Here is a 25,726-nt window from a genome sequence, read left to right on the forward strand (position 1 = left end):
ATTTAATGCTATAAAATATAAGCACTCCAAATGCCTTAAATTGGATCATGCAGGAAACCACGGAAATCACATTATTTTGCATTTCAGCTTTGGAAAAAAGCCACACTTTGAGAATGCTCAGGAAGAATTAGCAAAACTGATCCTGCCATAAAACAATACAACCCAAAGAGTTCTTTCCTGAGACTAAAATTATTTGGCTAGGAGGAGGGAAGGATGGTGAAGAATACAGTTTAGGAAGTGATCTAGCTGAGAAAGGTGAGAAAAACCCTGAAAAGAAAGCAAGTGCTTTTGCTAATTGAACCTAAGAATAGAGTGTTAGATAATGTGGGCTTACAAAAGGCTGTATCTTACAAACAAATATTTTTGCTTCAGGATGATGTAAAGTTTGAATAATAACAGTAAGTTTCCACTATTATTAAAACTACTCTCTTTCCACAGTTGCAGTTGGATTAGAGTCAAAAATTCCAGAGCAGCAGGCCCAAGGAAGAATAACAGTATGCAGAAATGAGGCATTTGGCTGCTTAAGAAATCAAGAGGGGGGCACACAAACAGGTTTGAATACAAGTCCACATTCCAACAAACTCCTTTTCTTCACTATTTCACGATCTTCTATGGAGATTCAAAGACATAGGAGTTTTTACTTAGTGCCTGTAAAAAAAAAAAAAAAAAGGTAAAATAAGATAAAATTGAGAGTATTTTTTCTCAGAGCTTTAGCAAATTGCTTTTTACTTTCTAGACATTATCATCTGTGGAGGTTACGCACATATTACAGTGAATGCAATTTAATACCACTCAAAATGTTCTTGGTGACTCTTTTTTCAGAATCACATTCTGGATCTATTATAACCATACAGAGAAGACATTTTTTTCTTTTTCTCTTTTTCCATTTGCTATCTTTCTCTCTTTCTTTTCCCTTTCTATCTTATTTTGTCTCTCTTTCTTTGGCCATAGTGCTAAAGTATTCCTTTTTCTATCCTTTTGTTTAAATGAATTTTGGCTTTATGCAAAACTTAATCCCTTTCCTTTGACATGTGACTATTCATCTCCAAGGAGAATTAAAAAGAAACACAAAGAAATGTTTTTCAGATATAAATGGAAATTCCAGAAGTGTAGTGAAGGCATCATAATGGTAATCACTTATCTCCACCAAACTGTGACAAAACTGAATGAGGTAGGTGTTTCAGTAGTGGAGATGTGTTTAGTAGTTGATTCAATTAGTTTATAGTCCAATTTAGCAAATCTAGACATTAGCGATATACAGATGTTTCTTTTGACTCACCGTCTGCACATGGAAGGTTCATTCACCACACCTGTGGGTGTGAAGGAAATCAGACTCGAGTAACCTTCATTTTTTGTGCTTATGAGAGTTTGTTTTTGATATAAAATATATTTAGAAAAAAACTAGAATGGGTAAAAATGGAATTCTGTAAAAAATAACCGGAAGATTATTGTTAGACGGCCAGTCAAGCCAAGTGGACAGTTATAATCAGTGGGAGTGTGGCACTATGGCCATGCTCTGGACAGCTGGCTTTAGAGGAAGTGAAGTGCAGTTGGTTAACAGCATACTCCACAGGGATTCAGTGTCAGCCCTTTTTCTTACTAGATACATTGGAACAAGTTTTCAAAATTCTCTGTGCCTTAGTTTCTCCATCTAAAAAATGACAATAATAATAAGACCTCATACATTCATTGTGAAGACCTTACAAGATAATACACATGAAACAGTAGTGTTGGGCGTTTATGTGCACTCCACACATATTACCTAGCATATCATTGCTATTATTTATAAATATTTGATTATGCTTTTTTTTAGTTCAAAGGCAAAGAGATGTAAGAAATAGTTCAAACGGAAAAGTGTGGAAAAGCCATGTGACAGGAAGAATATTTCTCTGGTGATTCAGTAAAATATACTTATTAAGGGTGATTCTTTTTTTTTTTTTATTATACTTTAAGTTTTAGGGTACATGTGCACATTGTGCAGGTTAGTTACATATGTATACATGTGCCATGCTGGTGTGCTGCACCCACTAACTCGTCATCTAGCATTAGGTTTATCTCCCAATGCTATCCCTCCCCCCTCCCCCGACCCAACCACAGTCCCCAGAGTGTGATATTCCCCTTCCTGTGTCCATGTGATCTCATTGTTCAATTCCCACCTATGAGTGAGAATATGCGGTGTTTGGTTTTTTGTCCTTGTGATAGTTTACTGAGAATGATGATTTCCAATTTCATCCATGTCCCTACAAAGGACATGAACTCATCATTTTTTATGGCTGCATAGTATTCCATGGTGTATATGTGCCACATTTTCTTAATCCAGTCTATCATTGTTGGACATTTGGGTTGGTTCCAAGTCTTTGCTATTGTGAATAATGCCGCAATAAACATACATGTGCGTGTGTCTTTATAGCAGCATGATTTATAGTCCTTTGGGTATATACCCAGTAATGGGATGGCTGGGTCAAATGGTATTTCTAGTTCTAGATCCCTGAGGAATCGCCACACTGACTTCCACAATGGTTGAACTAGTTTACACTCCCACCAACAGTGTAAAAGTGTTCCTATTTCTCCACATCCTCTCCAGCACCTGTTGTTTCCTGACTTTTTAATGATTGCCATTCTAACTGGTGTGAGATGGTATCTCATAGTGGTTTTGATTTGCATTTCTCTGATGGCCAGTGATGATGAGCATTTTTTCATGTGTTTTTTGGCTGAATAAATGTCTTCTTTTGAGAAGTGTCTGTTCATGTCCTTCGCCCACTTTTTGATGGGGTTGTTTGTTTTTTTCTTGTAAATTTGTTTGAGTTCATTGTAGATTCTGGATATTAGCCCTTTGTCAGATGAGTAGGTTGCAAAAATTTTCTCCCATTTTGTAGGTTGCCTGTTCACTCTGATGGTAGTTTCTTTTGCTGTGCAGAAGCTCTTTAGTTTAATTAGATCCCATTTGTCAATTTTGGCTTTTGTTGCCATTGCTTTTGGTGTTTTGGACATGAAGTCTTGCCCATGCCTATGTCCTGACTGGTAATGCCTAGGTTTTCTTCTAGGGTTTTTATGGTTTTAGGTCTAACGTTTAAATCTTTAATCCATCTTGAATTGATTTTTGTATAAGGTGTAAGGAAGGGATCCAGTTTCAGCTTTCTACGTATGGCTAGTCAGTTTTCCCAGCACCATTTATTAAATAGGGAATCCTTTCCCCATTGCTTGTTTTTCTCAGGTTTGTCAAAGATCAGACAGTTGTAGGTATGCGGCGTTATATCTGAGGGCTCTGTTCTGTTCCATTGATCTATATCTCTGTTTTGGTACCAGTACCATGCTGTTTTGGTTACTGTAGCCTTGTAGTATAGTTTGAAGTCAGGTAGTGTGATGCCTCCAGCTTTGTTCTTTTGGCTTAGGATTGACTTGGCAATGCGGGCTCTTTTTTGGTTCCATATGAACTTTAAAGTAGTTTTTTCCAATTCTGTGAAGAAAGTCATTGGTAGCTTGATGGGGATGGCATTGAATCTGTAAATTACCTTGGGCAGTATGGCCATTTTCACGATATTGATTCTTCCTACCCATGAGCATGGAATGTTCTTCCATTTGTTTGTATCCTCTTTTATTTCCTTGAGCAGTGGTTTGTAGTTCTCCTTGAAGAGGTCCTTCACATCCCTTGTAAGTTGGATTCCTAGGTATTTTATTCTCTTTGAAGCAATTGTGAATGGGAGTTCACTCATGATTTGGCTCTCTGTTTGTCTGTTGTTGGTGTATAAGAATGCTTGTGATTTTTGTACATTGATTTTGTATCCTGAGACTTTGCTGAAGTTGCTTATCAGCTTAAGGAGATTTTGGGCTGAGACAATGGGGTTTTCTAGATATACAATCATGTCGTCTGCAAACAGGGACAATTCAACTTCCTCTTTTCCTAATTGAATACCCTTTATTTCCTTCTCTTGCCTAATTGCCCTGGCCAGAACTTCCAACACTATGTTGAACAGGAGTGGTGAGAGAGGGCATCCCTGTCTTGTGCCAGTTTTCAAAGGGAATGCTTCCAGTTTTTGCCCATTCAGTATGATATTGGCTGTGGGTTTGTCACAGATAGCTCTTATTATTTTGAAATACGTCCCATCAATACCTAATTTCTTGAGAGTTTTTAGCATGAAGCGTTGTTGAATTTCGTCAAAGGCTTTTTCTGCATCTATTGAGATAATCATGTGGTTTTTGTCTTTGGCTCTGTTTATATGCTGGATTACATTTATTGATTTGTGTATATTGAACCAGCCTTGCATCCCAGGGATGAAGCCCACTTGATCATGGTGGATAAGCTTTTTGATGTGCTGCTGGATTCGGTTTGCCAGTATTTTATTGAGGATTTTTGCATCAATGTTCATCAAGGATATTGTTCTAAAATTATCTTTTTTTGTTGTGTCTCTGCCTGGCTTTGGTATCAGAATGATGCTGGCCTCATAAAATGAGTTAGGGAGGATTCCCTCTTTTTCTATTGATTGGAATAGTTTTAGAAGGAATGGTACCAGTTCCTCCTTGTACCTCTGGTAGAATTCGGCTGTGAATCCATCTGGTCCTGGACTCTTTTTGGTTGGTAAGCTATTGATTATTGCCACAATTTCAGCTCCTGTTATTGGTCTATTAAGAGATTCAACTTCTTCCTGGTTTAGTCTTGGGAGAGTGTATGTGTCGAGGAATTTATCCATTTCTTCTAGATTTTCTAGTTTATTTGCGTAGAGGTGTTTGTAGTATTCTCTGATGGTAGTTTGTATTTCTGTGGGATCGGTGGTGATATCCCCTTTATCATTTTTTATTGTGTCTATTTGATTCTTCTCTCTTTTTTTCTTTATTAGTCTTGCTAGCGGTCTATCAATTTTGTTGATCCTTTCAAAAAACCAGCTCCTGGATTCATTGATTTTTTGAAGGGTTTTTTGTGTCTCTATTTCCTTCAGTTCTGCTCTGATTTTAGTTATTTCTTGCCTTCTGCTAGCTTTTGAATGTGTTTGCTCTTGCTTTTCTAGTTCTTTTAATTGTGATGTTAGGGTGTCAATTTTGGATCTTTCCTGCTTTCTCTTGTGGGCATTTAGTGCTATAAATTTCCCTCTACACACTGCTTTGAATGTGTCCCAGAGATTCTGGTATGTTGTGTCTTTGTTCTCGTTGGTTTCAAAGAACATCTTTATTTCTGCCTTCATTTCGTTATGTACCCAGTAGTCATTCAGGAGCAGGTTGTTCAGTTTCCATGTAGTTGAGCGGCTTTGAGTGAGATTCTTAATCCTGAGTTCTAGTTTGATTGCACTGTGGTCTGAGAGGTAGTTTGTTATAATTTCTGTTCTTTTACATTTGCTGAGGAGAGCTTTAGTTCCAAGTATGTGGTCAATTTTGGAATAGGTGTGGTGTGGTGCTGAAAAAAATGTATATTCTGTTGATTTGGGGTGGAGAGTTCTGTAGATGTCTATTAGGTCTGCTTGGTGCAGAGCTGAGTTCAATTCCTGGGTATCCTTGTTGACTTTCTGTCTCGTTGATCTGTCTAATGTTGACAGTGGGGTGTTAAAGTCTCCCATTATTATTGTGTGGGAGTCTAAGTCTCTTTGTAGGTCACTCAGGACTTGCTTTATGAATCTGGGTGCTCCTGTATTGGGTGCATATATATTTAGGATAGTTAGCTCTTCTTGTTGAATTGATCCCTTTACCATTATGTAATGGCCTTCTTTGTCTCTTTTGATCTTTGTTGGTTTAAAGTCTGTTTTATCAGAGACTAGGATTGCAACCCCTGCCTTTTTTTGTTTTCCATTTGCTTGGTAGATCTTCCTCCATCCTTTTATTTTGAGCCTATGTGTGTCTCTGCACGTGAGATGGGTTTCCTGAATACAGCACACTGATGGGTCTTGACTGTTTATCCAATTTGCCAGTCTGTGTCTTTTAATTGGAGAATTTAGTCCATTGACATTTAAAGTTAATATTGTTATGTGTGAATTTGATCCTGTCATTATGATGTTAGCTGGTGATTTTGCTCGTTAGTTGATGCAGTTTCTTCCTAGTCTCGATGGTCTTTACATTTTGGCACGATTTTGCAGCGGCTGGTACCGGTTGTTCCTTTCCATGTTTAGTGCTTCCTTCAGGAGCTCTTTTAGGGCAGGCCTGGTGGTGACAAAATCTCTCAGCATTTGCTTGTCTGTAAAGTATTTTATTTCTCCTTCACTTATGAAGCTTAGCTTGGCTGGATATGAAATTCTGTGTTGAAAATTCTTTTCTTTAAGAATGTTGAATATTGGCCCCCACTCTCTTCTGGCTTGTAGGGTTTCTGCCGAGAGATCCGCTGTTAGTCTGACGGGCTTCCCTTTGAGGGTAACCCGACCTTTCTCTCTGGCTGCCCTTAACATTTTTTCCTTCATTTCAACTTTGGTGAATCTGACAATTATGTGTCTTGGAGTTGCTCATCTCGAGGAGTATCTTTGTGGCGTTCTCTGTATGTCCTGAATCTGAACATTGGGCTGCCTTGCTAGATTGGGGAAGTTCTCCTGGATAATATCCTGCAGAGTGTTTTCCAACTTGGTTCCATTCTCCCCATCACTTTCAGGTACACCAATCAGACATAGATTTGGTCTTTTCACATAGTCCCATATTTCTTGGAGGCTTTGCTCATTTCTTTTTATTCTTTTTTCTCTAAACTTCCCTTCTCGCTTCATTTCATTCATTTCATCTTCCATTGCTGACACCCTTTCTTCCAGTTGATTGCATCGGCTCCTGAGGCTTCTGCATTCTTCACGTAGTTCTCGAGCCTTGGTTCTCAGCTCCATCAGCTCCTTTAAGCACTTCTCTGTATTGGTTATTCTAGTTATACATTCTTCTAAGTTTTTTTCAAAGTTTTCAACTTCTTTGCCTTTGGTTTGAATGTCCTCCCGTAGCTCAGAGTAATTTGATCGTCTGAAGCCTTCTTGTCTCAGCTCGTCAAAGTCATTCTCCATCCAGCTTTGTTCCGTTGCTGGTGAGGAGCTGCGTTCCTTTGGAGGAGGAGAGGCGCTCTGATTTTTAGAGCTTCCAGTTTTTCTGTTCTGTTTTTTCCCCATCTTTGTGGTTTTATCTACTTTTGGTCTTTGATGATGGTGATGTACAGATGGGTTTTTGGTGTGGATGTCCTTTCTGTTTGTTAGTTTTCCTTCTAACAGACAGGACCCTCAGCTGCAGGTCTGTTGGAATACCCTGCCATGTGAGGTGTCAGTGTGCCCCTGCTGGGGGGTGCCTCCCAGTTAGGCTGCTCGGGGGTCAGGGGTCAGGGACCCACTTGAGGAGGCAGTCTGCCCGTTCTCAGATCTCCAGCTGCGTGCTGGGAGAACCACTGCTCCCTTCAAAGCTGTCAGACAGGGACATTTAAGTCTGCAGAGGTTACTGCTGTCTTTTTGTTTGTCTGTGCCCTGCCCCCAGAGGTGGAGCCTACAGAGGCAGGCAGGCCTCCTTGAGCTGTGGTGGGCTCCACCCAGTTTGAGCTTCCAGGCTGCTTTGTTTACCTAAGCTAGCCTGGGCAATGGCGGGTGCCCCTCCCCCAGCCTCGCTGCTGCCTTGCAGTTTGATCTCAGACTGCTGTGCTAGCAATCAGCGAGATTCCGTGGGCGTAGGACCCTCCGAGCCAGGTGTGGGATATAGTCTCGTGGTGCGCCGTTTTTTAAGCCGGTCTGAAAAGCGCAATATTTGGGTGGGAGTGACCCGATTTTCCAGGTGCGTCTGTCACCCCTTTCTTTGACTCGGAAAGGGAACTCCCTGACCCCTTGCACTTCCCAGGTGAGGCAATGCCTTGCCCTGCTTTGGCTCGCGCATGGTGCGGGCACCCACTGGCCTGCGCCCACTGTCTGGCACTTCCTAGTGAGATGAACCCGGTACCTCAGATGGAAATGCAGAAAGGGTGATTCTTATTTTACCTTTTTTTGTTTGTTTGTTTGTTTCTCTATCAGTGCCTTCTAGATGAGAACAAATATATTTTGAAAACAACTGAAACCACGACGTAGAAAGCACATTTTCATGCTGAATAACAGAATATTTATGTATCTTATATTTAAATATCTGAAAAAGTTTATTATTTTTAAGTCTTTTCCTTGAAAAAATATGTTTCAAAAACATAGGATTTTTTACTTTTGATTTAGATGGTGTAGTATTTGTGGAATCCGAATGATTTGATGATTCTGATACCTACAAGGTACAGATAGCTCCAAATGATGTCTAAAAGTAGAACTGTAATTCACATATACAACAGCAACTGCCACAGTAATAATGATAGCTACTGTTAATTGAACATCTATAATGTGCTATATACAGTTCTCTGCACTTTACATGAAATATGTTATTTAATCTTCTCCGTAACGCTATGTGGTGGGTAGGTAACGTTGTGTTCTATAAGATAAGATAAGGGACCTTTGGCACAGAGAAACTCTGGAATTGGCCGAGATTACTTGGATGTAAGTGTCAGAGACTGGGTTTGAAACAGAGTGCGTTCCCCAAAGAATGCATTTCCCAGTTCTCCCAAAATAGTTTTCTGTGCACTATGCATACATTTTCTCCTTAGTGCCGTATCTGTTCAAGTTAATTGAGGAAAATCAAACTATCTACTATTTAAAAAATAGGCTGATCATCTTTACTGCTAATGGGTTCAAATCACTTTGTTTATAATAGATCTGCTTCAGAAAGCTACAGCAGAGGCATCCGTCATTATTACTGTGAAGACATTCATGCTTGGAGGTGAAGCAATTGTCTCATGAAGTAAGAATCCTGTTTGCATACTTCTTTATGGGCAACTTGTTTTATTGCACTTAGCAGATACTGAATTTTTGCAGACACAAGTTTTATGGTAACTATGACTGAGCAAGTCTATTGACACTATTTTTCCAACAGCATGTGTTTACTTCCTGTCTTTGTGTCACACTTTGATAATTTACACGATTTTCAATTTATTATTATTATTGTATCTGTTACGGTGATCAGTGATCAATGACCTTTGATAATACTATTGTAATTGTTTCAGGGTGCCATGAACTGTGCCCGTATAAGACAGCAGATTTAATCAATAAATGTTGTTCATATTCTGTCTGCTTCAGTGACAGACCACTTCCCTGTCTCTCTCCCTCTTCTTGGGCCTCCCTATTCTCTAACTTTAACAATATTAAAATCAGACCAATTAAGGAGGCTGGGACCCGTGGCTCACACCTGTAATCCCAGCACTTTGGGAGGCTGAGGCATGTGGATCATGAGGTCAGGAGATTGAGACCATTCTGGCCAACATGGTGAAACCCTGTCTCTACTAAAAATACAAAAAAATTAGTTGGGCATGGTGGCATGTACCTATAGTCTCAGTTACTCAGGAAGCTGAAGCAGGAGAATAGCTTGAACCCGGGAGGTGGAGTTTGCAGTGAGCAGAGATTGCGCTACTTCACTCCAGCCTGGCAACAGAGTGAGACTCCGTCTCAAAAACAAACAAACAACAACAAAAATTAGACCAATTAAAATCCCTACAGTGGCCTCTAAGTGTTCAAGTGAGAGGAAGAATCACACATCTCTCACTTTAAGTCAAAAGCTAGAAATGATTAAGCTTACTGTGAAAGGCATGTTGAAACTCAAGATAGGCTGAAATCTAGGCCTCTTGCCCCAACCAGTTAGCTAAGTTGTGAATGTAAAGGAAGAGTTTTTAAGAGAAATTAAAGTGCTACTCCTGTGAACACATGAATAAGTAAGCAAAACAGCATTATTGTTGATATGGAGAAAATTTTAGTGGTCGGGATAGAAGATCAAACCAGCTACAACATTCCTTTAAACTAAAGCCTAGTCCAGAGCAAGAATCTAAATATCTTCAATTCTATGAAAGTTGAGAAAAGTGAGGAAGCTGCAGAAGAAAAGTTGGAAACTGACAGAGGTTGGTCCATAAGTCCTAAGATTTAAGGAATAAAACTGTCTGCGTAACATCAACGTGTAAGGTGAAGCAGCAAGTGCTGACGTAGACACTGCAGCAAATTGTCCAGAAAGACCTAGCTAAGATGTTTGATGAAGGTGGCTACAATACACAACAGATTTTCAATGTAGATGAAAAAGCTTTCTATTGGAAGAAGATGCCATCTAGAACTTTCAGAGCTACAAAGGAGAAGTCACTGCCTGGCTTCAAAGTTTCAAAGGACAGACTTACTCTTTTATGAGGTGCTAAGGCAGCTCATGACTTTAAGTTGAAGCCAATGCTCATTTACCATTCTGAAAATCCTAGGGCCCTAAAGAATTACTCTAAATGTACTCTGCCTGTGTGCTATAAATGGAACAATGATGCCTGGATGACAGTACATCTGCTTACAGCGTGTTTTACTTAATATTTTAAGCCCACTGTTGAGACCTACTGCTCAGAAAAAAAGATTCCTTTCAAAATATTGCTGCTCACTGCCAAGACAGCTAGTGCCCCAAGAGCTCTGATGAAGATGTATGAGAAGATTAATGTTGTTTTCGTGCCTAATAACACCTCCATTCTGCAGCCCATGGATTAAGAAGTAATTTTATAAGGCTGTAGCTGCCATAGATATTAATTCCTCTAATGGATCTGGTCAAAGTAAATTGAACTTGAAAACCTTCTGGAAAGATGCCATTAAAAACATTTGTGATTCATGGGAGGAGGTCACAATATCAACATTAACAGGAGTTTGAAATAAGTTAATTCTAGCCCTCATGAATGGTGTTGAAGGGTTCAAGACTTTAGTGGAGGAAGTAAATGTGGATGTGGTAAAAATAGCAAGAGAACTGGAAGTAGATGTGGAGCCCGAAGATGTGACTGAATTGCTGCAATGTCATGATCAAACGCAAACGGATGAGGAGATTTTTTTTATAAATAAGGAAACAAAGTAGTTTTCTTGAGATGAAATCTACTCCTGATGAAGATGCTGTGAACATTGTTGAAATGACAATAAATGGCTTAGAATTTACGTAAGTGTGGCTGATAAAGCAGTGGCAGGGTTTGAGAGGATTGACTCTAGTTTTGAAAAAAAATTCTGCTGTGGGTAAAATGTTATCAAAATGCATTGCATGCTATTGCATTCAGTAATCTTTATTGTTATCCTAAGAAAGTGCCACAGCAACCTCAACCTTCAGCAGCCAAAAAACAAACAAACAAAAAGATAAGGACTCTTTGCAGGCTCAGCTGATCATTAGCATTTTTTAATAAAATGTTTTTAATTAGAGTATGTACATTTTTGGCTATAATGTTATCGCACACTATACTAAAGTGTAACTTTTTTTCTTTTTTTTTTGAGACAGAGTCTTGCTGTCTCACCCAGGCTGGAGTGCAGTGGTGGGATCTCCACTCACTGCAAGCTCCGCCTCCTGGGTTCACGCCGTTCTCCTGCCTCAGTCTCCCCAGTAGCTGGTACTACAGGTGTCCGCCACCATGCCCGGCTAATTTTTTGTATTTTTAGTAGAGACGGGGTTTCACCGTGTTAGCCAGGTTGGTCTCAATCTCCTGACCTCGTGATCCGCCCGCCTCGGCCTCCCAAAGTGCTGGGATTACAGGCATGAGCTACTGTGCCCGGCCACTATAGTGTAACTTTTATATGCACTGGAAACCGAAAAATTTGTGTAGCTTTTTTTATTGCAATATTTGATTCATTGTGGTTGTCTGGAACTGAACCCACAATGTCTATGAGATATTCCTGTACACATTTCACATTAGTCTCAGCATAACTAGAATAGGGAAATTCCCTTACTTTGTGGTCTTTCTTGTCATTTCCCAGGGTTCTTTCCTAAATTGAAGAAAGGCCTCCAATTGTCAGCTTTGGAATTGCCATGGCTAATTGTCTAGGAGATTTTTTTTATTCAAGACAAATAAAACTGACATCCTAAAACAGAGCATCATAACCTTTGTTGGCTCATTCCCCTGGAGATGATTAATGGAGACAGGACTGAATACCCTGACTGACTGTAAAAGCAAATTAGTGGGAAAATGGCCACTGGGCAGGGATACCAGTGAACTCTCCAGGGCAACCTGCTTTATGTCTTGCTATGAAAGGGTACTGATGCCCTTGCTTAAACAGATGATTTAGAAAATAACCTCATGGTGTTGTATCATGTCATAAATGAAATTTTGTAAAGTGCCTGCAGAAGGTTCTCTGTTTTGTCAGTGTCCTTTTAGTATATGATTTGGGGCTTCAATATTCCATCTATGAGGAAAAACAAATGGCAGAGCAGCTGCATACAACTATTATATCTATTGAGACATAGACCTGTATTTCAGGACATGAGTGACAAGATGTAGAGGCTTATTGAAGAATGTTGTTAGATGCTAGGGGGCCACCATATGTATAGATAATCATTTGTATTGATACTACTCTGCTTTTAGCTAGAACAATTTGCAAAATATGAAATAGACACAAAATCATATAAATACATTTATACTGAATGCAGCCATTGGGTTTTAATGTAGAAGACTGATATATTTATTTTTTAAAATATTGAGAAATTAATGAAATAAAATTAAACCTTCTCCTTATAGCTACAAAAGTCATATTTGAAAAGGAAAACACATTGTTGTAAATAATTTATTTGTTTGACATTTTGTAAATTTGAATGTAGATAATTTTATTTAAGGCATGTTACCTTGGGTGATGTGAGATTTAAGCCTTAGTTTCCTCATCTGTACAGTTGAGATAATAATTGTAAAGACTAACTGAGAGAATATAAGTAAAATATTTAGCAGAGTGTAAACATCTTAAATTTTGCCCAAATAATTGAACATTAGTATGGAGAATAATTAATTTAGATTAGCTCTATACATTATTAAGAACAAGCATTCCAAAGAGAAAAATAGGTTTGGGGAAAATCTAAAAACAATTGGAATAATATGCTCATCTCTATTGAGAAGGGTAAATGCATTGCCTAAAAAGAAAGAAAAAATATAATGAAAGACAATATGCTTGGATTTCAATGTAAGTAATTTTTGTTATAGAGATATGTTGTATTAGCTGATAGATGGTCGGCCGGGCACGGTGACTCACGCCTGTAATCCCAGCACTTTGGGAGGCTGAGGCGGGTGGCTCACTTGAGGTCAGGAGTTCAAGACCAGCCTGGCCAACATGGTGAAACCTTGCTACTAAAATACATAAATTAGCTGGGTGTGGCATAATTCCAGCTACTCGGGAGGCTGAGGCAGGAGAATCACTTGAACCTGGGATGTTCAGTGAGCCAAGATCACGCCACTGCACTCCAGCCTGGATGACAGAGCGAGACTCCCTCTCACAAAAAAACAAACAAACAAATAAATAAATAAATAAATAAATAAAATAAAAGATGGTAGGCTCACCCAAACTATAGCAGGATAAACTCAATAGAATAGCATACATATTAAATGACAAAATCAGGGCCAAAACAAATTTTGACAGCCACTGTGTGCCCAATCTATTAAAATAGAATTTAAGTGAACAGGCTATAGATAGTAATTTTAGACAAACTTACTTGGAATGACTCAGCATTTAGGTGAAATGCTCAGCAGGAATCAACATGCTATCTTACATTTGAACTCAATCCTTGACATTATTTGTGGTAGAATGGATCAATCTGATATATCAGCTAGAATGAGTTGGACAAAAAATACCAAAATAGTTTAAAAGAAAAAAAATCTCACCTATCAATGTGTCCCAGAGTAGGATGGCTTTCAATCTGGTTAATTCTGTGGCTGAATACCATTAAGAACCAATGTTCACATTACACGTCCATAAAATGGAATACTACTCAGCAATTAAAAGGAACATCCTACTGTTTTAGGTAATAACATGGGTGAGCCTCAAACTTATTATACTAAATTTTAAAATCCCGACTCAAAGGCTGTATACTATATAACTCTATTTATATGACATCTGAAAAAGTCAAAACTATGACAGAAAAAATATCAGTGGTTACCAATGGTCAGGGTTGGGGAGAGATGATTGACTATGAAGAGGCATGGGGAACTTGTTGGGGTGATAAAACTATTCTATATCTTGATTGTGATATTGCTATATGACTATACACATTTGTCAAAACTCATAGATTTATGTATCTGTAGTTTTACTCTATTTAAATTGTATCTCAATAACCTTAAAAACAAATGAAAAAGAACTGATTTGTCATCATCTGTGTGTCTGTCTGTCATCTGCTCAATCCACCTCATGCTTACAAGAAGGCTGTCATATTTCCAGCCATCACAGGCAGATAAGATAGTGTCCCACAGAATCTGTTCCTTTATGTGTTCTCTTTTCACTTGTAAGAAAAACTTTTCAGAAGCCTGTCTCCCTACTCCCTCACAGCAGGCTTCTCACACATCTCATGGACTAGACCTGGGTCACATGGCTACTCCTTAATCAATTCTGACAAGGAAAACAAATCATCATAATTAACATGGACTCTGATTTAACCTTAAGTTCAGGATAGAGATATCTTCTCTCATGCTAGATACTTGAATACATTAGAAATTCAACTGGTAAGAATAAACCATGGTTGTAGTGAACACGAGTTATGGTGAACAACTAACAGTATCTGTTCAACTGGCTAGCAACCTTGTTGTATTAGGCCATTCTTGCAATGCTATAAAGAAATAACTGAGACTGAGTAATTTATAGAGAAAAGAGGTTTACCTGGCTCACGGCTCTGCAGGCTTTACAGGAAGCATGGTGCCAACATCTACTTGGCTTGTGGAAGGCCTTGAGAAGTTTACAACCATGCCAGAAGGCAAAGGGGGAGCAGGCATGTTACATGGCAAAAGCATGAGCAAAACAGAGAGAGAGCGAGTGGGGGCAGGAGGGAAGGTGCCACACACTTTTCAAGGACCAGATATCCCATGAACTGAGAGTGAGAGGTCACTTATCACTAAGGGGATGGCCCGAGCCATTCATGAAGGATTCGCCCCGATGATCCAAACATCTCCCAGCAGGCCCCACCTCCAACATTGAGGATTACATTTCAATATGAAATTTGGGCTGGGATAAACATCCAAACTACATAACTTGTCATTTTATTCAATGGTAAACTTTGATACAGTCAACAAGAAGGACACAAGACCAAAAACAAACAAAACCAAACAAAAATCCAAGCTAATACTTTGCCTTACATATTTTGCTTACATACTCTAATACTTGCATCTCTGAATAGATGCATCTTTCTGTAATTAGAAAGATAATGTCTTGAAGAAATTTATTTGATAAGGGATAGATTTGGAAACTATGTCATATGAGGAATTACTGCAAGAAGTGTGACTAGCATGTACACTAGCATGTGGAAGACACATTAGACTCTATCTTAATGTTGTTAAAGACTGGAGAGAGAACGATATGCAGAAAGTATCCTACTACATTGTAGAGAGAATTTTCAAATACGAATTAGTTATCCAAAGATTTCCAGCGGTAGTGAATTATTCATCACTGTGAGTATTCATGCCTGACTCAGACAATCCCTACAGGGATGTAGCATAAAAACATCTAGTCTAACAGATGGCTAGTTGGACTGGACATTCTTTCTTTGCCATATTGAAATAATGCTAATATTATTTCCTAAATATACAAAGAAATATATTTGTGTTTACAGAATACTCATATATACATAGCATATGACTAAAAAACTTACTGGTTAAAAGGCTAGAAGGGAATACATAATAAAACGAAAATGTATTATGTGAGATAGGAAGATGATGGATGAGTTTAAAAAAAAATCCAACAGCAATTTGGATGAGAAGTGGAAAATTTTGGCTTAGTTTAATACTGAGAAATTATTGATCTAAGTGGAATCCATTCACAATGAAAACAAACTTTTTTCCTTTGAATGTGCCTTCTTTAGGAGACCCTCCAAGCTGACACCAGCTGTCTGGGCCTATTCTGATCCAAACCCCAAACTTCTGAATTACTCTCAGTTTTGGGTTCATAAACATATGTTTTTTAAAAAATATAAATTGGAGGATACTGAGTGACATTAAGACATTTCATGAATGTTTACAGCCTGTAGGAAAAAAAATATGATTTCCAGCTTGCCTATAAAAGGGAGAGTAGCAAATGTTTGAGAAACAACTTCTCTATGCTTATGCATAGCATTGATTCTGTTGAATTATTATTATTATTATTATTATTATTATTATTACCTAATGCAATCTCTTATTTGTGTGGCAGTTACTGGAAGCAGAAAGGCCAAGATTAACAATAATGATCTATCACTGACAGAACTAAATGAAGAGCTTTACATTTCATGAGTTACTATTATTATTACTGTGCTAATCATGGAAAATGCTGCTAACTTGAAATCATTCAAATGTACCAGATAAATTTAAGCAGCTGCCTAGCCATCAACACTTAAGTGGAAACACAGTATAACCCAAACTCTACAGTATAAAGTATCAATTAATAACACAGGTGTGCCTGGGTTATTTTTAGCAGCCTAGAAAACCCAAAGTTAAATAGCAAAGAAATTATGTGTAAAGCTCTTTTTTCATGGTCTAGGTATATCTATCATGCTTTACATCATGTTAAATGATTTTTTTCTCAAGTTATTTAAGAGCTCATATTATCTTACAAATAACTTTAGAAATGTATCCTAAACTGTATGTATCCTAAATGAGAAATGTTTCCTCAACTGAGAAGCTTGTTGGATGGATGATTTATGTTGGCTGAGAAAACAGCAAACAAAAAGGCTTTAATTAGGAAAAAGATGCAGCTATGAGAACTCAAATGCTAGAAAACAAAAAAGCAGTAATTGGAAAAGAAAACAGAGGGACCCTGAACTGATTATATTTTGTTAATTTCATACATGTACTGAATACTCACATTCTATAAAGCTCTCTGTTAGCCTTTATGGTGACATAATGATGTATAAAATAATTTCATTTTCTGCCCCAGTGGTTTCAACATTGTTATAAAAAAAGAAAGAACCCTTATGGTATGGGTTTTCTCTAACATTAGCACTAAGTTAAATTATGTTTCACTGGTTGTGGAATTCTTACACTGGTTTCATAGGAAAACATTTTCAGAAGCAATTTATATTTCCTTCTAGGATCTAAACAAGAAGAGCAGAATTTCTAGTTACCAGCATTTCCTACTAGAGTAAGGGCTTCTCTGTTGGTCAGATCAAAAGACTGATTTTTTTTCTATAAGTATTTAAAACTTATTTATTCAGTCACTTAAAATTTAGGTTGAATGCTTTTGTAACACTCCTACGTCAGTTGCATAGGAACAATTCAAAGAACCTTCAAAGGATAAAAGCTGGTCAATTTCAATATCTTCCCTACACTTAGCAGATCTAATTTCTCATAGCTCACAACATGAGCAGCCTTAACATCTTTCTGCTCATGACATTGCTTTTCATTTTTGTGGTTTTTATCTATTCTGCTTCCTCAATCTGAAATTTTCTCTCCCCCCTTTTCAATATTTATTTAGATCCTGCTTAAACCTTTAAAGCCCAACAAAATCCCTTCCTCCTACACAGAGACATACCACAGCAAGCTCTCCTGGTATTTCCCTCTCTCTCTTCTGTTTGTTATGCTTACCTGGGAAGTATTGTCCAGTGTGACTGTTTTGATCCCTTTAGGTCCACTCCCCCTTCAAATTAATGGTTATTAACCCTTTCAGGACATAAGATTCATGAGAGGTGCTTTTCAAAAAGGGGATACTCAGGTTCTGTCCCCAAAACAACTGAATTTGGAGTTTTGAAGATAAGGCTTGAATTGAACACTGCTATTTAAAAGAAAATCTTCCAGGGTTATTTTCATGCATAGTAGATATTAAGAAACCAGTTGATTTAGGATAAGATTAATCCAAACCAGTTTGTTTACCATAAAAGTTTATAATTTAAGACCTTCTTTTCCCATCTTCCTGTTTATATTTCTGTCATACACATGAAACAGAGTACATGCAGCATTTTTAGATTCAACAAGAAAAGGTGTGACCATCCAAGCCTATTGGTGGTGTGGGTGGAGGAACAGGGAAGACTCCAGCATGCATGCTAATCCCTAATCTAGAACATATTCCTCATTAATAGATTAATCAGCTGAGGTCCATATGGTTTAAAGTTACCCAAGGTAGAGGAGCCCAGCATGTTAGTGAAAAGTGAGGTACAATTTGGATCAAGTCTTCAGCCTCCCCGAAGAGTGAGGTTTTAGATTTCACTGGACTTTGTGCTCCGGCTGATCCCTAGTTGCCTTGTATGTTTTGGTGTTCTTGGCATCTGAAAGCTCAGTTCTTTCAGTTTTCAAAATAGTCCCTTATACACTTCTTGTTTCTTCCACATTGTCTACAGTTCATAGAATACACACAAACACAACTTGGTTGATTTGATTCATGAACATTTTCCCTTCTCTTGTGTTTGTAGCCTTCAGGAATGCTGCTGTCCTAAGAAAAAAAGGCCATTTTTTAAGCCTTAGAATGAAACAAAGGGAAGTCTGTACTTGGAATAATCTTGACCCCAGAAATCTTGTTTGGTGTTCAGAAAGTGTGAAGGATGCTAAATATTCAATATTCTACAAGAATGTTAGCTGCACTGCGCATTGCCATCTCCTAATCTCTCTCTCTCTCTCTCTCTCTCTCTCTCTCTCTCTCTCTCTCTCTTCCTCCCTTTCCCTCCCTCTCCCTGTCCCTCTGCATCTTCCTCTCCTTTCTACCTGCTCTTTCTCTCTAGGGCATGGCATGTATGTAAGATTTCTATTTGCATTCTGCCAAGTAATCAGAAGTAACAGTACCTAATTATTTAACAATCTAAAATATAATTGAAAAAAGCCTATATGAACTATCCAATTTCAATGAATATGAAAGCTATTTTTATCAATGTCTGTATTAGATTTCATTAGTGGGTAGCCTCTACCCAACTGACGTCCATTTTCAGTTTCTTTGATTTCAACTGTCTTTGATGGTACTGAATGGACACATCCCCTTGCCACCAGTGGTTAAGAGTTATTGTTTACAAGATTACCAAGGAAAAACTTATGCACCTCAGCTTCTGCTCCTAAGAGATGCACTTTGGGGATGGTAGGATTTTCAACTTAGTTTTCTAGTTCTGGTATCGTCAGAAAAGATTCAAAAATTTCCCTGAAATACACCAACTACTGTTCTCACCTTCTGTAAAGTATTGACAACAGAAATGCCATATCATAAATGGGCTATTTTATAAAAAACATATTTGTGTTTTTACAGATAAAATGACAAATTTAAAACCCCAAGAACACTCCTTCTGTCAGTTTCTGTTGTGTCAGATATTGTATGCTCTCTTCTGTATGACCTTGGAAGATAACTTCCCTTATGTGAAAACAACTCTCCCATGAATTATAAATGATGTCGAAGGATTGTTCTACAACAAAAGTGTCTGGATTGATAGTATCTGGAATTTCTCCAAGTTGTTAATGTATTTTCTAATCGTTTTTAGCCAGCCCACTTTTATAGCAAACATCTCAAATTTTGTTTAGAAAAAATAATAAAATAATGTTTTTTTAACTTGTAATACTGAATAATGTTTGAATGGCTAAAAGTAAATCAAACGATGACAATTCTGCATTTTTGTCAAAGGGGGAATTTTCTGTTCCCATAACCACAATCTCTTTAATTCCACTAGCCAATTATAGGGTGTGAGGTAATAATGCTCTCGAGGGGAAATGCCATTGCATTGACCTCAGACTCAGGGGGACTAGGGAATGGGTTGGATAAGCAGCAGAAAATAATGAGCACACACCGTAAGGTCAGATGAAATGGAAATAGAATGTAATCATAACAACTTTGCTCTTCATGCTTTGAATTTACTGAGCTATTTTCCTGTGTGACTATCTATATGCAAAGAATGGCTTAACCTTCCTACTTCTAAAATAAATGCTGCTTGCATCAAGCAAACTTCACAAAGCCATGACCTATTTTGATAAAATTCAGGCAAGTTTTCAAGTGGATTTTTTCTATACCAACCAACGAGTTTGTTGTTTGAAGAATACACGCACGTACACTCATACACACACTGCAGAGACACACAGACACACACACGCACATCCTTTATAACTAAAAGTTTCAAAAACTCTAGTAGTTTTCATTTCCAAAGAATACAAGGCACATTGTTTGTAGATAAAAAACAAATAACATTCATTGTTTAGAATGTATACCATTTTCTTCTTTTGTCTTCCTTCTTCGTTAGAATACATACACTTTTTTTAAACACTTGTGCTGTTTACATCTACCCAAGAAAATCATCACTTATTACTTGTAAGTTTTATATGTGTATGGTGTATGTGTCTGTATACATATTCATACATTCATACGTCCCTGCATACACACATACATTAATTAATTTTTTAACCAAAAATATGCTTCTCTCCTTATGGGCAGAGATGAGGCCCTCTCTTCTTGGTGTTCCCCTTGTCAGAATTGGTATAGCAATTTTATTTAAGAGTACAGGTGTTGGACTCAGACTGGTTCTGCAACTTACTGACTACACAACTTAACATTCCTGAGCCTTAGTTTCCTTGCCCTTAATATGGAGGTAGCACAATCTACTGCATATCTAGTATTAGATGATATATACACAGTTTTGGGTTATTTATAATTACCCAACATTTAATCATTATTGATATAGTTTGGCTGTGTCCCCACCTAAATCTCATCTTGAATTCCCATGTGTGGTGGGAGAGACCTGGTGGGAGATAATTGAATCATGGGAGCAGGTCTTTCCTGTGCTGTTCTCATGGTAGTGAATAAGTCTCATGAGATCTGATGGTTTTAAAAAGAGGAGGTTTCCTGCACAAGCTCTCTTGTCTGCTGCCATGTGAGATGTGCCTTTCACCTTCCACCATGATCATGAGGCCTCCCCAGCCATGTAGACCTGTAAGTCCATTAAACCTCTTTCTTTTGTAAATTGCCAGGTTTTGAGTATGTCTTTATCAACAGTGTGAAAACAGACTAATACAATTGTTATTTACCAACATATATGAAAGAGAAAAATGGGAACAAGATGTTTTAGAGTAACTGTTGGATCATTTAGGGTCCTAAAAGGAAATTAATGATACACCCAAATTCCAACAAGAGTTCATTTGCGAAAGGATTAAATACAAAGGTATCAGAAGATATAGGAGAATTGCAAGGGATAATGCAGAAACCTGGAGGGATAAAGGGAACGATAGGCCACTGGGGCCAGTGCGGGGCTGAGACCTGTGCTGTGTGTCCCCATTGCTCCTTATTTGTCTCCATTGCTCCATAAAATACAGTGCTCCTTTAAGATTAAAAATTTACCATCTTTAACCCACAAAATTCCCTGTCTGTTCTTTCCATGACCTCCAGTTTGGTCTTCTGATTGGCAGTCTTCATTTTGATTCTTGCTCTTTAGCTCTTCCCACACCCCAGGCAGGAAAAATCCTTTGTTTCTTACTTTGCTCAATAGATAATGAATAGCTTTGATTCCCTGACAAGAACTTCTCTTGCAGTACTCCGTTCCCACCCCATATCACACCTTCTTGTCATCTGAAATTGCGCTGTTTCTGAATTCACAGTTTTCTAACATTCCACTCTCCAACTACAACCTCTTGGGCCTCTAGCTCTCTTACTCAAGCTGTATGGTTTATTGATACATGGTTACTTCTCTAATTTTCCAATATGTTTTATCTACCCTGTCCTCTGAATGTGGGTGAATGATAATTAGAGATATATTAATACACTTTGAAGTCAGAAAAAAAGCCTATCTCTTGGACATTGATGAAAAACAAATGAGCAAAGATAAACAGAAATGAGTGGTGGTTTCACTGAGTCATCTCATGAGCCTCTTCTAGAATTTCCATGAGGTTTTGCTATGTATTATCCAAGATTTGGTTATAGTTTTCCCTTTAACATTTAAGGGATATGCAGTTGGCTTCTTGGCATGCAACAGACAAACAAACAAACAAACAATCTGACAGATTCATATCAACACTATTACTCTTTTTCCACAAATTTCACATTTCACACTTATTGACCCCATAATTTTCCTTTCATCCATTAATCCTCTCCTCTCTTTCCATCTGTTCTTTTCCAGTTTGAATTCTGTAGTTCATATTCTAATCATTGTCAGTAAATATTTTTATTGCTTTTGTGATCTCCCCAGAAAAATCCCAATGATTTATTTTCTTCCAAATTTGTATCTATGAAACTGCAGCTTAGTGGAGAAATTTCACATAACTGGTCAGATTCTGCCTCCAGAATATATCTCAAACTTGCCTAATTCCCCTAATTTCTATTGTGAAATAAAACCAAACCATATGGTTTCTCACTGGCCTATTCCAGCCTTCCATAGTACTTTAGGATCAACTCATGATCCATTCTAATTCACTCTTCACAACACAGCAAATGAGAGTTTCATAAAATATAAAACAGTTTATGCCAGTGCCTTGTGGAAAATTCTTCAATGACAATCCTTTGTTGTGAGAAAGAAAATCAAACTCCTGAATATTGCCAAAAAATCCTGCCTAATTTGGTCCCTGGCCAATACCAACATCATTCTCCCTCTTCTTTGTTACACTCTAGGATCACTGTCCTTTCACTTCTGCAAAAGACAAATAACCCCACCTCAAGGACTTTGCATATGCTGTTCTTTTTCCTAGAACACTCTTCTTCCTCCTTTGTGAATGTCGATTCCTTCTCTTTCTTATGTATTTGCTTAAATGTAGTCTCCCCTATTTGAAGTTGGCAAATACCTTCCTCCTTCCCCTACTTTCTCCCCAATACTTATTTCTCCTGCTTTCTCCCATTTCCTACTTTCTCTGTCTCCTACTTTCTCCCTAACACTCTATTCTTTTTCTTTATGATTACACAGTACTTATCATCTTTACCTATTAGCATCTCTACTGCATCCTGAGTGTGGTCAGGACCAAGTTTATTTTGTTTGTTTTTGTATTTCCATTGCCTAGCACAGTCCTTGATATACAGTAGATGATGAATAAATATTAAATGAGTGAAAGAAGCATTAGACAGGATATAGTGGGTAATAGGGAGACATATATCCCTTTTGAGCTAGGAAATTGTCTGTATCATAAATTTATGCAGATTAATTTAGTGATATAAAAATCAAATTACAAGTTAAGTGAGAGAAGTGAAATTATCTCTTAATTAAACTCAGGACTTTCAGGGTTATCTTTGTACAAAGTTTGAATGATCTGGACCTTGCTCTCTTCAATTTCACTTCCCCCTAATATCCTCTCTCTTTGATTATTTCTGTCACATTTCACTTGCACCCGGAGATGCTGACCCCTTTAAATGTACTGATTCAAGTATTGATAGCTCTCTACAGCACAGCTAAGATAGGCTGAAAAATACAAAATATATTGCATAACACTAAGAAAAACCAATACCTAAGGGCTTAAATACAAAGAATATAAGAAGTGCAAGAAGTCCAATCTATAATATATAGGAGTTTAATCCTGCTCTCTCTAGCTCCCTGCTTAAGTGCAAAAAGTCTGGCTCAGTCTACCTCTCACTCAGAGCTGCCTCCACTAGAGCTCTCCAAAGGGGTGGCACAGCTCACTCTCTCTTTGACTGTGACTCTCATTTCCTGTATCTCTATATTCCCAGGTAATAGTGGCCCTGCCTTGGGCGTCCATACTTTAAAGGAGTCTATTCTTATCCTCTTCTGGTCTTCCCCTTCTTATGAGGGTAAGACATCTTATAGATCAAGGGAACTTACTCAGAGGCTGTAACTGCCTGCTGCCATTTCTAAACCATAGTTCAGGAACCTGGAACTCTGGCATAAGTGCCCCAAGCTCAGTTCCAGAGTCTTTGCAGTCTTCCTCCCTAGATCCATTTTCCGATGGCAGATTACACACTAGAGTATATGCAACTCTAGGCCTGAGGGATGGCTACAGGGCCGCCGTTTAAAGGGACGTGAAAAGACCTTGAACATGCAGGCTGTGGTGTCTGCGTGGATGTGCATCGGGCCTCTTGTGGTAGAGGACAAAATGGGATGGAAAGAGAAGGTAGGAAAATACTAACAGCAATTGAATTATCTTTTTTATTAGCAAGTACATAACAAATAGTTTAGATTAAAAGTAAACAATCATTAAACGTTAGGAATTACAGGCAAATAGAAGAGTTTAAACTTGAATATGTAATATTTGAAAGAGTTTTTTAATTAAGTTACATAACCATGCTGTCTAAATTAAATGAGATTTTGCCCCACCTTGTTGAGTCTGCATACAGGCATACAGAGTTGCACATACTTTAGGAAGTGACCCAAGCTCTAGTTGGATGGTTAGTAGAGTAGAAACCCATGTACAGATGTTTGGGTGCTTTCCAATAAAAATAAGCCATTTGCTTTTCTTCTCAGTACTGAAGAAGGATGAGCAAAAATATTAAAAGGCAAAGATAAACAGGCCTTGCTGAATTGTCCAAGACTGACTCCATTTAGGTCAAGGTCATATGATATATCCGTGTGGTTTTAATTATATTGTTTTCTAGTGAGCATTATGGGTGTGTCTGATTCCAATTTTAATTATTTCATATACTTTTTCAGTTGCCTGTGCTATAATAAACCACATTCTTCAGCATTAAATCAATCAGAACTCCACCTAATTTCAGTGGCGATATTTTATGAGGCTAAGCTAAATATTTGTACCTAGTATCTCAGAAGCCAACAACAATCTGTGGATTAAAAGATAGCTTTTGTGTATAGAAGAAATGTCCTTTGTTTTGTCATACAATTGCTAAAAGAACTACTTCTAGTAAAACAGTGTATAGGAATTTATCATTTACACCATCAGAAGCAGTTTTCATTATTTCGAACAACTATAAAAATAAAAATTGCAGGTTAAAATAAATGGTGCATAAATTAATAGTTAAAACTAGTGTAGTTGAGCCCCCCAAAATCTTAATTATTCTGAAGATTCAGTATCATTGTACTTTTAAGAGTATTAATTTTATGATAAGCATCTTTAGGCCTCTTCATGAAAATGATTTTACAATAACTATAGTAAAGCAGGGTGATATCGTTTTGGATACATGTCCCTGCTCAAATCTCATGTTGAATTGCAGTCCCCCAATGTTGGAAGTGGGGCCTGGTGGGAGGTGATTAGATCATAGGGGTGGATTTCTCATGAATGGTTCAGCACCATCCTCTTGATGCTGTCCTTACAATAATGAGTTATCATGCAATCTCGTTGTTTAAAAGTATGTGACACCTTCCCCTCTCTCTCCCTCTTGTTTTTGCTGTGTGACTTACAAGCTTCTGCTTCACCTTCCACCATGATTGTAAGCTTCCAGAGGCTTCCCCAGAAGGAGATGCCAACTCCATGCTTCTTGTGCAGCCTGCAGCACCGTGAGTTAATTTATCCTCTTTTCGTTATAAATTACACAGCCTCCGCTGGGTGCCGTGGCTCACACCCGTAATCCCAGCACTTTGGGAGGCCGAGGTGGGTGGATCACAAAGTCAGGCATTTGAGACCAGCCTGGCCAACATGGTGAAACCCTATCTCTACTAAAAATACAAACATTATCCGGGCGCGGTGGTGGGCCCCTGTAATCTCAGCTACTCCGGAGGCTTAGGCAGGAGAATTGGTTGAACCCGGGAGGTGGAGGTTGCAGTGCACTGATATCGTGCCACTGCACTCCAGCCTGGGTGACAGAGCAAAACTCTGTCTCGGAAAAAAAAAAAAAAATTACCCAGTCTCGGGTATTTCTAGCAATGTGAGAATGGCCCAATACGTAGGGAGAGAGGCTGGGTTTGGAAAAGTTGTAGCTTCTCTTCAACCCTTGCTGTAAACTACAGATTTTTAAGTAACTGTTATTTCAAAATG

General features: G+C 38.1%; 1 long non-coding RNA gene across 1 annotated transcript, besides 1 other annotated feature; it reads left to right on the forward strand.

Moving 5' to 3' along the window:
- Nucleotides 1–25,281, forward strand: LOC107986635 (uncharacterized). Its single transcript, XR_001744307.1, has 3 exons — nucleotides 1–552; nucleotides 8,647–8,733; nucleotides 25,156–25,281. It is a non-coding gene; the product is annotated as an uncharacterized LOC107986635 (long non-coding RNA).
- Nucleotides 7,038–7,615: an enhancer, noted in NCBI's record as "OCT4-NANOG-H3K27ac-H3K4me1 hESC enhancer chr6:113240678-113241255 (GRCh37/hg19 assembly coordinates)". NCBI's record gives its function as "activates a minimal SCP1, AML or CMV promoter by ChIP-STARR-seq in naive H9 embryonic stem cells {active_cell/tissue: H9 hESC(naive)}" and the evidence as "EXISTENCE:reporter gene assay evidence [ECO:0000049][PMID:30033119]".
- Nucleotides 25,282–25,726: the final 445 nt, after the last annotated feature.

The sequence above is a fragment of the Homo sapiens genome, chromosome 6 (genome assembly GCF_000001405.40).
Source record: "Homo sapiens chromosome 6, GRCh38.p14 Primary Assembly".
Taxonomy (NCBI): domain Eukaryota; kingdom Metazoa; phylum Chordata; class Mammalia; order Primates; family Hominidae; genus Homo; species Homo sapiens.